General features: G+C 63.9%; 1 protein-coding gene across 1 annotated transcript, besides 6 other annotated features; it reads left to right on the top strand.

The window, feature by feature from the left end:
• Positions 1–3,296: 3,296 nt before the first annotated feature.
• On the top strand, positions 3,297–12,557 carry SRMS (src-related kinase lacking C-terminal regulatory tyrosine and N-terminal myristylation sites). Its single transcript, NM_080823.4, has 8 exons — positions 3,297–3,938; positions 6,698–6,819; positions 7,566–7,732; positions 8,465–8,606; positions 8,725–8,883; positions 9,426–9,607; positions 9,699–9,855; positions 10,047–12,557. Exons 1-8 carry the CDS (start codon positions 3,583–3,585, stop codon positions 10,226–10,228), a joined length of 1,467 nt encoding a protein of 488 aa, NP_543013.1. The 5' UTR covers positions 3,297–3,582; the 3' UTR covers positions 10,229–12,557.
• Positions 3,583–4,224: an enhancer, noted in NCBI's record as "H3K27ac-H3K4me1 hESC enhancer chr20:62178175-62178816 (GRCh37/hg19 assembly coordinates)". NCBI's record gives its function as "activates a minimal SCP1, AML or CMV promoter by ChIP-STARR-seq in primed H9 embryonic stem cells {active_cell/tissue: H9 hESC(primed)}" and the evidence as "EXISTENCE:reporter gene assay evidence [ECO:0000049][PMID:30033119]".
• Positions 6,397–6,950: an enhancer, noted in NCBI's record as "H3K27ac-H3K4me1 hESC enhancer chr20:62175449-62176002 (GRCh37/hg19 assembly coordinates)". NCBI's record gives its function as "activates a minimal SCP1, AML or CMV promoter by ChIP-STARR-seq in primed H9 embryonic stem cells {active_cell/tissue: H9 hESC(primed)}" and the evidence as "EXISTENCE:reporter gene assay evidence [ECO:0000049][PMID:30033119]".
• Positions 7,898–8,047: an enhancer, noted in NCBI's record as "active region_18227". NCBI's record gives its function as "activates an Ori minimal core promoter by ATAC-STARR-seq in GM12878 lymphoblastoid cells {active_cell/tissue: GM12878}" and the evidence as "EXISTENCE:reporter gene assay evidence [ECO:0000049][PMID:35858748]".
• Positions 8,338–8,397: a silencer, noted in NCBI's record as "silent region_13160". NCBI's record gives its function as "represses an Ori minimal core promoter by ATAC-STARR-seq in GM12878 lymphoblastoid cells {active_cell/tissue: GM12878}" and the evidence as "EXISTENCE:reporter gene assay evidence [ECO:0000049][PMID:35858748]".
• Positions 10,894–11,063: an enhancer, noted in NCBI's record as "experimental_61036 CRE fragment used in MPRA reporter constructs". NCBI's record gives its function as "activates a minimal promoter by MPRAs in K562 erythroleukemia cells, with activity observed for both the introgressed and non-introgressed 20:62171421 or rs310652 variant alleles {active_cell/tissue: K562}" and the evidence as "EXISTENCE:reporter gene assay evidence [ECO:0000049][PMID:34662402]".
• Position 10,978: a transcriptional cis regulatory region, noted in NCBI's record as "Neanderthal adaptively introgressed variant 20:62171421 (GRCh37/hg19 assembly coordinates) or rs310652 in the experimental_61036 CRE". NCBI's record gives its function as "modulates activity of the experimental_61036 enhancer by MPRAs in K562 erythroleukemia cells {active_cell/tissue: K562}" and the evidence as "EXISTENCE:reporter gene assay evidence [ECO:0000049][PMID:34662402]".

Here is a 12,561-nt window from a genome sequence, read left to right as displayed (position 1 = left end):
GTCTTGGGGGAGAGAATGCACGCTGACCACTGAGACCCTCAGAGCTGTGCCCTCCAGACACATAAACCCGGATGGGGGGTGGCCTGATGTGGCAGAGCTCCTGCCACAAGCCTCCATCTGAACACCAGGAAGGGCCCTGCACCCCATCCCCCTGGTCTGTGTCCTCACTGCCATTGTAAGCTCAGTGCTCTTACAGATGGGGAAACTGAGGCACAGGGAGGTTCAGCACTGTATGCCCAAGGTCATGTGGACAGTGAGTCTGACAGCAGGATTCCAGCCCTGGTCATTTTTATTTTTTTGAGATGGAGTCTTGCTCAGCCGCCCAGGCTGGAGTACGGTGGCGCGACGATCTCAGCTCACTGCAACCACTGTCTCCCAGATTCAAGTGATTCTCCCGTCTCAGCCTCCCGAGTAGCTGGGATTACAGGTGCCCGCCATCATGCCTGACTAACTTTTGTATTTTAGTGGAGACGGGGTTTCACCATGTTGCCCAGGCTGGTCTTGAACTCCTGACCTCAGGTGATGCACCCGCCTTGGCCTCCCAAAGTGCTGGGATTACTGGTGTCAGCCACCGTGCCTAGCCTTTTCTTTTTTTAAAAAAATAGAGATGGGGGTCTCACTATGTTGCCCAGGCTGGTCTTGAACCCTTGGGCTTAAGCGATCCTCCTGCTTGGCCTCCCCAGATGCTGGTATTACAGGAGTGAGCCGCCTCACCCGGCCAAGCCCCAGACTCCTGACCCCGTCCAGACTGATCCTGTACCCAGGCCCCTTTCCTCACTCCCCTCTGTGCCACCCACCCGGTTAGGGCTGAGGGAGGAGGTGAGGTCATGTGGGGGGGGCACAGCAGGCAGGGAAGGGGCTGCTGACACCGACACCTGGCAGGGGCCCTATGCTGGGCTGTGTTGCGCCTGGTGGGTGAGGTGAGGAAGGGGTGGACGGGCGGGCACAACTTGGAGGGCAGCGGGACAGGGCAGCTGGGCATGCGGGGCCGGGGATTCTGAGGACCACCGGGGAGGAGCTGGATAAAGCCGGCCTCGGCTGCCTGCCGACCACACTCACCCTGGCATGTGTGCGGTGCAAGGGCAGCAGGTGCAAGGAGGGGGAAGATGGGGCAGACGTGGGGAGCTGATCTGTGGGCAGGTGGGGCGGTGGGGGTGAGACACGCCGGGGCAGAGGCCCAATGGGGCCCTAACCCTGATGGCCAGGCCTGCCTCTGGTTCCAGCTGGGCATGGAATGTGCTGAGTCCTGTGCCATGATCCCGTGGCTCTAAGGGGCAGGGAGTGTCTGGGAGGAATCTGCATTCAGTGCCCTGAACATCTGACCCTGGTGTGGTGGGCACAGGAGCTTTCCATGGCCTGAGGAGGCCTCCCTGGGGCTCTGCGGCCTTGGCGTTCTAGCGGGGAAGAGTCACGTCCTAGGGAGGATTTGGGAGAGCTGGTAGCCACACCTGTAGTCCCAGCACTTTGGGAGGCAGGAGGATCGCTTGAGGCCAAGAGTTCAAAACCGGCCTGGGCAACATAGTGAGAGCCCATCTCTACAAATAATAAAAAATTTATCTGGGCATGGTGGCGCACACCTGTAGTCCGGCAGGAGGACGGCTTGAGCCCAGGAGATCGAGGCTGCCACTGCACTCCAGCCTGGGCGACAGAGTGAGACCCTGTTTCCAAAAAAAAAGTAAAGAAAAGAAATGGTGGGCAAAAGCCTCACCTGCACGTGAGGAGACGGCGGTGGGTGTGGGGAGGAGACGGCGGCGGGGGGAGTGGAGGGGAGGAGACGGCGGGGGTGGGTTGTGGGGAGGAGACGGCGTCGGGGGCGGGAGGAGACGGGCAGCGGGTGGGGGGAGGAGAGGGCGGCGGGGGCGGGAGGAGAGGGCGGCGGGGGGAAGCGCGGGAGGAGAAGGCGCTGGGGCCCCTCGAAGGCCACCCCCAATGTAGTATTTACAATTCTCCACATTTCTCAACACCCCCCACCACCCCCAGCAGGGCACCTCTCTGGTGCAGAGCCTGCCCTGAGCCTGGCGATGTCCAGTCTCCCAGGGCCCCTGCTGGCTCCAGGCTATCAGCCCGGACACAGCTTGGCTGCTGGGGTGCCCTGAGAGCCAGGCCACGGGTGTCACTGCCACCCCACAATGCACACACCAGTCCCCAGACGTGAGGTTTCTGAGAAGCCCATCTGTGACTCCAGGGCAGGCAGGTGCGAGGGGCTTGTCATTGGCTGGACACTGGTCACGCCTATTGGAGGGATGCATTCAGCCACACGCATGAAGTGGGGGCATGGATGCGTGTGAGATGTGGGAAAGGGGCGTGAGGCTCCCTGAAGGCCACCCAGGTGCGGAAGGGGCTGCTGGGGGAGGCCGGCAGGAGGAGTGAGAGACTGCAGATGGCCTCACCCCACCCCCGTGCCTCAGGACCCAGAGGGGAGGTGGGAGGAGTGAGAGACTGCAGATGGCCCCCACCCCACCCCACTCAGGACCCGGAGGGGATGTGGGAGGAGAGAGAGACTGCAGATGGCCACCACCCCATCCTCCTGCCTCAGGACCCTGTACCGTGCTGCTGGGTTTTGCTGGGATTTGCTCCCCCAGTCCTGCCCCGATCTGGGGACCTACCTGAGCGGGCAGAGTTTGCTTCAGCATGCGGGGGCTTGGCGCTGTCCAGGGAGAGGGTGGGAGGTCCCCAGCCAGGGACTCACCCGCCGCCCCTTCTCCGTGTGCTCATCCCCCTGAACTGGGGCCAGGCGTCCGCAGCCTCCACTTCCCCGCAGTGGCCTTTGGGTATGGCCTGGGCATTGACTGACTCAGAAGCCGGTCATCGGGCAGCATGGGGCATCTGGGTGCCTGGCCTGCGGCCGAGCTCCCTGCAATCAGCATCTCGTTTTACTGCATGAAAGCCGGGGTGCTGAGAGCCCCCTCACTCGCCTGTCCTCAGAATTTACTGCAGAGGCCGGAGGCTCGGCACCTGGTGCAGGGTTAATGATGTTAAAATATCTGGCCAACACTTAAATAAGCAGGCAATTTTTCACCTGAGTGCAGCTCAGGCTTGGCAACCACTGCAGGTGCTGAACAGCAGCGCTTCTCCGTGGAACCCCCACTTCTCCGTGGGCACGGGCGGCTGTTGGACTGTGGTGCCCTTGGGCATGGGCCAGGCCTGACTGGGCAGAGCCATTCCGCCTGCCTGGGCCTTGCAGAGGGCGGGAGAGAGGCTGGCCCTGCCCACCCCGCCCTCCTCGGGCCCCTCCTGGAGCCCGCCCCCGCCCCAGCCCAAGCTGCCCTCTGCCGTCGGGTTGGGGAGGGGACGGTGCACTCCAGACGCCAAGGAGGTCGAGGACAGGAGGTGCTGTCGGTGTGCCTGAGGCAGGGGGTCCGCCCTGCGCCCCACCCAGCCCCAACGCCAGCCCGGACGCCGGTGGGAACCGTGTGCCTCCTGGATCCAGGGGACCTCTGAGTGACCGCAGGGCCGGGGTCCCCTGTCACCCCACGGCCAGGGCAGGGAGCGCTGGACACCGGGTCCCACCGGCCCTGCCAGTTCCTCTTCCGGGCTCGCGGGCTCCCATGGCCCTCGGGCCCAGCGTGGTGACCCCGGGGGATGGAGCCGTTCCTCAGGAGGCGGCTGGCCTTCCTGTCCTTCTTCTGGGACAAGATCTGGCCGGCGGGCGGCGAGCCGGACCATGGCACCCCCGGGTCCCTGGACCCCAACACTGACCCAGTGCCCACGCTCCCCGCCGAGCCTTGCAGCCCCTTCCCTCAGCTCTTCCTTGCGCTCTATGACTTCACGGCGCGGTGTGGCGGGGAGCTGAGTGTCCGCCGCGGGGACAGGCTCTGTGCCCTCGAAGAGGGGGGCGGCTACATCTTCGCACGCAGGCTTTCGGGCCAGCCCAGCGCCGGGCTCGTGCCCATCACCCACGTGGCCAAGGCTTCTCCTGAGACGCTCTCAGACCAACCGTGAGTACCTCGGCCTCGGAGTCAGAGCCTGCCTCGCCCCCAGCTGGGGAGTCCAGAACAACGGCAGGATTTTGAGTTGGAAATCGCATGTCCGTGGCTATCTGTTCATTCATTCGTTCATCCACGCATTCATTCAGGGACAGCTGATGGGCCCCGGGCCGGCAGGTGTGGTAGGAAAACAGCAGTGTCCGCTGTGGGCTGCCGAGAGGGAGAGGAGGCTCCGGCAGGCGTGGTCAGGTCCTGTGGGGGGGAGCATCAGCTGCACCAGCTGGACACCCAGCAGGCGGTTCCTCCAGGACCCTGCCTGGCTGGCCAGGCCCTCCCGCCCTCACACAGGGAGTCCAGTGTTCATGGATCGGTCACTGCTTGGAGGGCAGGGGCTGGGGGCTGGGAGGCACCAGATGACAGGAGCTCCAGGAGCTCTGGGTGACGGCAGGTGAGCAGGGGCTGGGGGCTGGGGGCTGAGACAGGGGCCCATGCTCCAGGAACTCTGGGTGAGGGCAGGTGAGCAGGGGCTGGGGGCTGAGACGGGCCCACGCTCCAGGAGCTCTGGGTGAAGGCAGGTGAGCAGGGGCTGGGACTGGGGGCTGAGACAGGGGCCCACGCTCCAGGAGCTCTGGGTGAGGGCAGGTGAGCAGGGGTTGCAGAGGCGCCTAGTCCAGATGCCCAGTGCGGCTGCTCTGAGCGGCTGCCTTGGTCTGGCATCCAGCTGGGCAAGGCCTGAGCCCTGGAGACCTTCGGGGTCAGCCTTGCTCAGGGCCACTTCCAGCCTCCTGGGGGCCCTTTGGCACTCACACATCGTCCTGGGGGTTGCATGGGCGGGTGAAGCCGGAGTCACAGGAAGGGGCCTTCTGAGGGGCCCCAGGCCCTCACCCCACACCTGCCCCGCTTGTCCTGAGCAGTGGTTGGGGGGCAAGCAGCCTTTGTGATGGGAAGGGGCTCACAGTCACCCCAGGTGTGGAGGACAGACCCCTTCAGCAGTTCCTGGAGGGCAGGGCTCGTGGTGGAGCAGGGCGGTCCATAGGCAAAGCTAATGACTATTTGCCTAGGCTGGAGATTAAAAGACTAACCACACTCAGGTGTCATTAGCTCCAGACACCTGGCCCCACGCCCCAGGGAGAGACCTCAGACACATCCTCTGCATCTCAGGATCCCACAGGGGCTCACCTCTGACCCCCAAGCCCTGATGTGGGCTTCAGAGGAGGCTGGCGATGTTTTGGGGAAACACCTGTGTCTCATCCCCACACCCCACGGTGCTGGGAGGGACCTGAGTCCCTTTACACGTGAGAGGGTTGCGTCTCCCTGCCAGCAGACCCCAGAAGGCAGGGGCCCTGGCTGCAGGAGGAGCTCCATGGACAGAGCGTCCATGGAGTCAGTGCCTCAGGCCGCTGCCTCTCTGTCCCTGGTCCCACACCTCTTCCTGTCTCCATCTTCATTCCCTTCAACTTAAGCCCAGCCCCACGGCCCTGGTCATGTCAGTTTCTATTCCTGCTGCCCCCATTGCCCCCTAGGTCACCGGGGCAGGGGTGCCAGACTGTGTCCTCCGTCTTGCCCAGTCCCAGTCTGCCAGGATGGCATGGCCGTGCCCCAGCCCCGAATCTTGTGTTGACTCTGAGGCCCACCTCGGGTCCTCTCCTAGTCCCGCTTCCCAGGTGGTTTCAGCCCCACCCTGACACCGGCTCACTCTGCTTCTTCCTCCTGGTGCTTACGGGGTGTGCCCTGGGGCAGGGGAGTGGCAGGCATCCCTCTCCGGGTCCCAGGAAGCTCCAGGAAGTGGGAGGCTCCAGGGTGGGAAGCTGAGTCAGGTGTGGAGTCCCCGCCTTGGACTTCAGCAGCAGAGTTATGCAGACGGGGTGGGGCTGGGAGCATTTCTGTCTTCCTTCCAAGGATGCCTCCGGCTCCCAGGAATGAGTAGATGTGACCTGGTGGGCGGCCCACCTGGACAGGGGAGACCCAGCCGGCCCCTCTCCCGACACCCGGTGTGGGCTCCTCGTGTGTGGGCATCTGAGGAGTGGGCACCTGGGAGCTCCCTGCCACCCTGCCACCGTGTTCAGAGAGGTCTCACCTGCACCTGGCTTTTCCGAGGGGGTGTCTGTGCGAACAGACGCCAGTGGGCTTAGGGCCGTCCTGTACTGGGCACAACTCTCCAGCATGGGATGCAGGATGCTTTGAACGTTCGCACAGCAACCCCCCTGCAGCCGCCCACTGGCTGCCCCTCCTGACCTCCTGCACAGCCTGGCTTAGGCTGCCTCCTCAGGACACAGCTTGCATGGGCCCCCTCCACTAACCAACTGCCTGAGGCAGGTGGGCCGTGCCCAGCCAGGTGATGCCCATGGCCCTGTACAGCCACGACAGCCCAGCAGTGCTTCCGGGCAGCTCACCAGGCCGTCAGCTCCATGTCTGTGCAGGGGCTCAGCGAAGCCGAGTTTGGAGGCCTATGGCCCATGGCCAGGGCTGACTGTTAACCTGTGGCTGGGGCTGGCGGTCACTATGAACAGGGAACTGGAGGTCACGCCCAGCAGGGCTAACGGAGAGCCCACGGCCAACGTGAGGATGCTCAGGGCTGAGCAGGAGGATGAGGCCGGCACTGGGGGCTGAGGCAGTGCAGACCTTGAGCTGGGACTCAAAGTCCACGGGGTGGACCTTCTCCCTGAGGCGGTGGGACAGCCGGGCTCAGCCCTGCCGGCAACACGGAGGAGAGCATGTGGGGCCACTGGCTGAGGGGCCTGCAAGGTGACTGCCGCACCTGCTGTTTGCAGCTGGTACTTTAGCGGGGTCAGTCGGACCCAGGCACAGCAGCTGCTCCTCTCCCCACCCAACGAACCAGGGGCCTTCCTCATCCGGCCCAGCGAGAGCAGCCTCGGGGGCTACTCACTGTCAGGTACCTGGGGCGGCCCCTCCTGCCTCTGTCCCCCACCAGGTCAGTGGCCCTTGACCTTGGGGTGGTTGGTCTCTAGGCAGTGCTGGCTCCTGATTCACACCCGGCGCCACTGAGGGCCCAACAGCAGATATGCTGGTCACCTCCTGCACTTGCTAACTCACCCATTTATTCATTCATTCAGTCATTCACCCACTCATTCATTCAGTCACTCATTCACTTGTTCATTCATTCCTCACTAATTCACTCATTCATTCATTCATCCATTCATCTCATTCACTCGTTCATTCCTCACTCACTAATTCACTCATTCATTCATCCATTCATCCACTCATTCACTCGTTCATTCGTCACTCACTAATTCACTCATTTATTCACTGATTTGTTCACTAGCTTATTCTTTCACTCATTTGCTTATTCGTTCATTCATTCATTCACTTTTCCTTCTTTCCTTCCTTATTCCTTCATTCATTCACTGACTCATGGACTCATTCATTCTACAAGTATTTATTAAGTGCCTACTCTGTGCACACCGTCAGCAGAAAAGCTCCAACCTGGGCCGCTCTCGCTGCCCCGCCCCAGCCTGTGGCTGCCCACACTCCCTCCTCCACACAGCTCTGACCATCTCAGGGTCCCCAGCTAGGTCTGAGCCAGACCCCTTAGTGGGTTGTGGCCAGCATCCTCTGGGGTGGGAGGGTCGGGGCAGCTGGCAGCCAAGGCAGGGGTCTCCATCTCTGAACCCTTCCTAGTCCGGGCCCAGGCCAAGGTCTGCCACTACCGGGTCTCCATGGCAGCTGATGGCAGCCTCTACCTGCAGAAGGGACGGCTCTTTCCCGGCCTGGAGGAGCTGCTCACCTACTACAAGGCCAACTGGAAGCTGATCCAGAACCCCCTGCTGCAGCCCTGCATGCCCCAGGTGGGCCTGTGCCTGCCAAGCTGCCCCATGCTGGGCCCGAGGCATGGCCCTGTTCTAGGTGCTCCTCCCCACCCCGTCACAAAACCCCTGGGGCTGTCAGAGGCGCAGCTCCAGGGCCCTGCCCAGGCCTGGGAGCATCGGAGCATCCCAGCGGTTCCAGCACATTCTGCTCTCTGCGGGTGCCTCTGAGGGTTGTTGGGATTCCTGGGGTCCTAGGGGGCTGGGAGTGGGGAAAGGAGACCTGTAGCAGTGCCCAGCTCTGCAGGGGAGCAGCCAGGAGGGTGGGGCCAGTTTGGGGAAGGCACTCAAGGCTGCCCCAGGCCCCAAGGGCGGAAGGTGTGGGAGGAGAGGCAGATCACAAGATGCTGCACCTGGGCTGGAGACACTGGATCCCGGGGACTGTCCCCGATGTGAGCCACCCTGCCGAGGGCCAGGGCAGCAGTCTGGTTTCTCTGGTCTCATAATGACAGCGCGGCCAGGGGCAGTAATGAGCATGTGTAGACGGATATCCGGCTGGGGCAAAGGTGCCACTTAGGCCCCCAGAGCAATGAGCTCCCACGGGGCTGGGCCGGGCCTCCAAGCCTGGCACCCACTCCCCTTTGTCCCAGCCAGGGTGGGGTGAGTGTGTGCTGGGGACAGGGGTGCCCGCCAGAGGCCTGGTGTGGGGGGCTGTGCCTGGGACAGAGCACAGGGGCCCACGCTGACCAGCCTCCCTGCCCACCCTCCCTGCAGAAGGCCCCGAGGCAGGACGTGTGGGAGCGGCCACACTCCGAATTCGCCCTTGGGAGGAAGCTGGGTGAAGGCTACTTTGGGGAGGTGTGGGAAGGCCTGTGGCTGGGCTCCCTGCCCGTGGCGATCAAGGTCATCAAGTCAGGTGAGGCCCCGAGATCCTGCGCCACGGCCGGGCCCCGCACCTGCTGTCCAACCCTCAAGCCCCAGGGCAGTGATGTTCGTGGCGTGGGCCGGTCCTGGAGCCACACCCTCTCTCGCAGCCAACATGAAGCTCACTGACCTCGCCAAGGAGATCCAGACACTGAAGGGCCTGCGGCACGAGCGGCTCATCCGGCTGCACGCAGTGTGCTCGGGCGGGGAGCCTGTGTACATCGTCACGGAACTCATGCGCAAGGGGAACCTGCAGGCCTTCCTGGGCAGTGAGTCCCCTCCCTGCTGCCACGTGGCCCTGACGCGCCTGCGACCGCCCCTTCCCTCCTGGCGCAGAGCTGAACCTGCGGGGTTTCCGAGGTGAACCGGGCCTCTCTACCGGGAGCAGGTGGCCCCGGCTGCAGATCCCATCCCTGTCTGGTCTCCAGCCAACAGGGGGCTGGCGTCAGGTCTGGGCCAGGCCAGAGCCTTGTGGCTCCGGGGCTGGAGCTGGTGTTCGGGGGCGGTGGGGGGCGCGGTCCCATCTGGGTCACCAGCCTTGGTCTAATGTGACATAGACCCAGCCCAGCCTCTGGCTCTTCTCTGCCCTGGTCTTTGTCGGGGGCCTGGGCCGGCTGCCGGGTCACTGTGGTGAGTACAGGACCCTCGCCCTGTCTCACTTGGGGCTTCCCGTGGCCTTAGCCGGCCATGCCATCCTCGCCACGTCTTAGAGATGAGGAGGCTGAGGCATGGGGGAAGGTGACGTGGGTGGACGCTGGCCTCACCGGCCGTTGGCCCCGTGCCCTAAAAGACCCCGCGCTGTCTCCTGCAGCCCCCGAGGGCCGGGCCCTGCGTCTGCCGCCACTCCTGGGCTTTGCCTGCCAGGTGGCTGAGGGCATGAGCTACCTGGAGGAGCAGCGCGTTGTGCACCGGGACTTGGCCGCCCGGAACGTGCTCGTGGACGACGGCCTGGCCTGCAAGGTGGCTGACTTCGGCCTGGCCCGGCTGCTCAAGGTCAGCGGAGGCTCTGGGCCCCTGACCCAGAGGGGGTGGGTGAGGGGACCCCGGTCCACCTGCCCTACCAGGGGCCTTCCCTCGCCCCCAGGACGACATCTACTCCCCGAGCAGCAGCTCCAAGATCCCGGTCAAGTGGACAGCGCCTGAGGCGGCCAATTATCGTGTCTTCTCCCAGAAGTCAGACGTCTGGTCCTTCGGCGTCCTGCTGCACGAGGTTTTCACCTATGGCCAGTGTCCCTATGAAGGTGGGTCCCCAGGCAGCCAGAGGGAGGATGCAGGCTCTGCCCAGGAGTCACTGGCCCCGGGCCTGGACGCTGTCGGCAAGGGGTTGGAGGGTCTGGCCAAGGGCAGGCAGATGACATGGGGGGCTACAGGAGGCCTCCTCCATAGGGACCCCCAGGCAGAATCGAGGCAGCTCTTGCCCCGCGCCTCCCAGGGATGACCAACCACGAGACGCTGCAGCAGATCATGCGAGGGTACCGGCTGCCGCGCCCGGCTGCCTGCCCGGCGGAGGTCTACGTGCTCATGCTGGAGTGCTGGAGGAGCAGCCCCGAGGAACGGCCCTCCTTCGCCACGCTGCGGGAGAAGCTGCACGCCATCCACAGATGCCACCCCTGAGTCCTCACGTGACCCAACGCTCTGGGCTCCAGCCAGGCCAGCCCCTCCTCCCTGCAGAGCGCCAACTCGAAGGGATGCCGGTCTGCCGGACCGAGGAGCCTCTGGCTGTGGGCCTCAGGCCCTGGCGTGCACACATGTTCGTGCACCAGGCAGACGTGCAGACGGAGGGCTGGGGCTGACGTCCCCCGTGCAGTGTGACTCGTGCAGACGGAGGGCTGGGGCTGACGTCCCCCATGCAGTGTGACTCGTGCAGACGAAGGGCTGGGGCTGACGTTCCCCGTGCAGTGTGACTCGTGCAGACGGAGGGCTGGGGCTGACGTTCCCCGTGCAGTGTGACACGTGTCCCTGGCCTCTCAAGAGAGACAACGGCACAGGAGGGTGGGTAGAAGCCTCGGAGGCTCTGGGTGAGGAACCCTGAGCCCTGTGTGTCTCCTGCCTGGGTCCCCTGGACTCCCTCCCAGGGTGAAGAGCCAAAGGCCCAGTTCTCTCCCTAGTCCCAGCTTGGGTTTGTGGAAATGACCAGTGCTGACTCCCAGGCAGACCGTGGTGTTGACCCCACTGGATGTGTGGTATGTAGGCACGGGGTGGCACCGTCACCTGCCCCTCACAGACACACTGGCGGCCTGTGCACAAACCCACTCACGCACACAGCACTCAGTAAGCCGGGACTGACCCACTCAGACACGCACACAGGCGCACATCACACACAGGCTCAGCCCCCCAAACCCAGACCCAGGAGCTGGAGCGTACGGGTCCACGTGGCTAGAAAATGCAGGTTGGAGCGGCCCCCATGCCGCCCGGACCCCCAGCCCAGGACATCATGGTGCCCAGAGAGCGTGAGCCCCAAGGGCATTGGCAGGAGCTGCCGATTCCATCTCCCTGGGTGGGTTCCAGGTGGCACAGGAAGGGTGGGCCGGGAGGCTTGGTGACCTGGGAGCTGCCCTTGGAGGCTATTTCCAGGGGCCTCAGGGTGGGCCGTGGGGGATTTGGAGTCTTCTGCCTGTGCAGGGTCAGGCAGGGTCGGTTGGGGGCTCGGAGGTAGATGCCATGGTATGCTGGGCAGCAAGTGGCTCAGGAAGCCTCTGGGTGTGAGTCCTCGGGGGTCACCAAGGCAGGAGGGGGCAGGGATGTGCAGGGTCCGCCCTCGTCTCCCCACGTCTGGCTCAGGGAAGCTTCTGCTCAGGTCTTCGTGAAACACGTCAAGAAGCAAGGGGGCCGGTGGGGTCTGTTTGTGGCCCCCGGAGACCCTGCCCCCCACCCTCCTGGGAGCCCAGGTTGGCAGCTGTGCCCAGAAGGCTTTCGGGGACAGAAAGTTTGGAGACAAGTTCAGGCCTGACTGAGTCCTTGTCCCCTAGAGTTGGGGTCAGCTCTGTACCTGCTGAGCCGAAGTGCTGATGGCTGCCGTCCACAGGCCCCGGCCAAAGCCTGGCTCAGGAGGGAGCTAAGAGATGAGACTCCCGTGTGCAGAGACAGGTGGCCCCGGGGAAGGAAGAGGCCACTCGGAGGCTCCGAGAACGGAGGCAGCGCGGGGGCTTCCTGGGGCCCGTGCATCGGAGGAACAAGGCCAAGCGGAGGGAAGCAGCAGGAACCAGGACCCCTGCAGATGGTGGAGGCAAGAGGCTTTATCTGAGCCTTTGGGACCCTGGCCACCTGCCCAGCTCCATCTGCATGGGAGAACCTAGGGGAGGGGCTGGTTCTGGTACCTGGGCCCACTGAGGCCTTGAGCTGAGCTTCCAGTTCTGGCAGGTCCCCAGCACAGCAGCCTGGGGGCTCCTCTGGCACAGAAGGCCTCGCCCTCTGTGCTCTCTGCAGCCGCCACTGGGATTAAGGGGACCAGGTGTGTCTGTGGCACCTGTGCCCTCCTAGGCATCTCGCCAGCCACCAGCTGAACAGGTTTGGTGCTCCTGGGTATCTGGGAGGGGCTGGGGACGTTCCTGCCTCCTGGTGTGGCTTAGACTGAAAGTCCTGCACGTCCGAACTCAGGGATACTCGAGGCTTCCTGGACATAGACTCACGGGCCCAGAGTCTGGCCGGGCTCTGAGGGACGCTGCCCGGCCAGGTGCCCCGGCACCCTCCTTCCGCATTCCCCACCCCCCACCCCTCCCCCTGCATCCTCCCCAACCGACCCCAGACAGAGCTGGGAGGGCCTGAGGGACACTGCCCAGGCCGGCACCCCGCTGCCCCTCCCCACCTTGGTCAGCGCTGAGCTGGGCTGCCCAGAAATCTATGAGCCTGTTAAATAATCCAGATTATTGTTCTTAATCTCAAAACAATGAGTGGAAGGTGCCATTATTTCTCTTTGCAATAAAAATAAAAGTTGAAATACGCAGTTT

This window comes from Homo sapiens, chromosome 20, assembly GCF_000001405.40.
Source record: "Homo sapiens chromosome 20, GRCh38.p14 Primary Assembly".
Classification (NCBI taxonomy): domain Eukaryota; kingdom Metazoa; phylum Chordata; class Mammalia; order Primates; family Hominidae; genus Homo; species Homo sapiens.
The sequence above is the reverse complement of the archived record's forward strand: the minus strand, read 5'-3'. Positions and strand labels throughout refer to the sequence as shown.

Bases quoted from the DNA above. Each gene is read 5' to 3' on its own strand.
- SRMS (NM_080823.4), top strand. From the start codon at position 3,583: ATGGAGCCGTTCCTCAGGAGGCGGCTGGCCTTCCTGTCCTTCTTCTGG. The intron at 6,820-7,565 runs GTACCTGGGGCG...AACCCTTCCTAG, and splicing joins CGGGGGCTACTCACTGTCAG to TCCGGGCCCAGGCCAAGGTC. The intron at 9,856-10,046 runs GTGGGTCCCCAG...CGCGCCTCCCAG, and splicing joins TGGCCAGTGTCCCTATGAAG to GGATGACCAACCACGAGACG.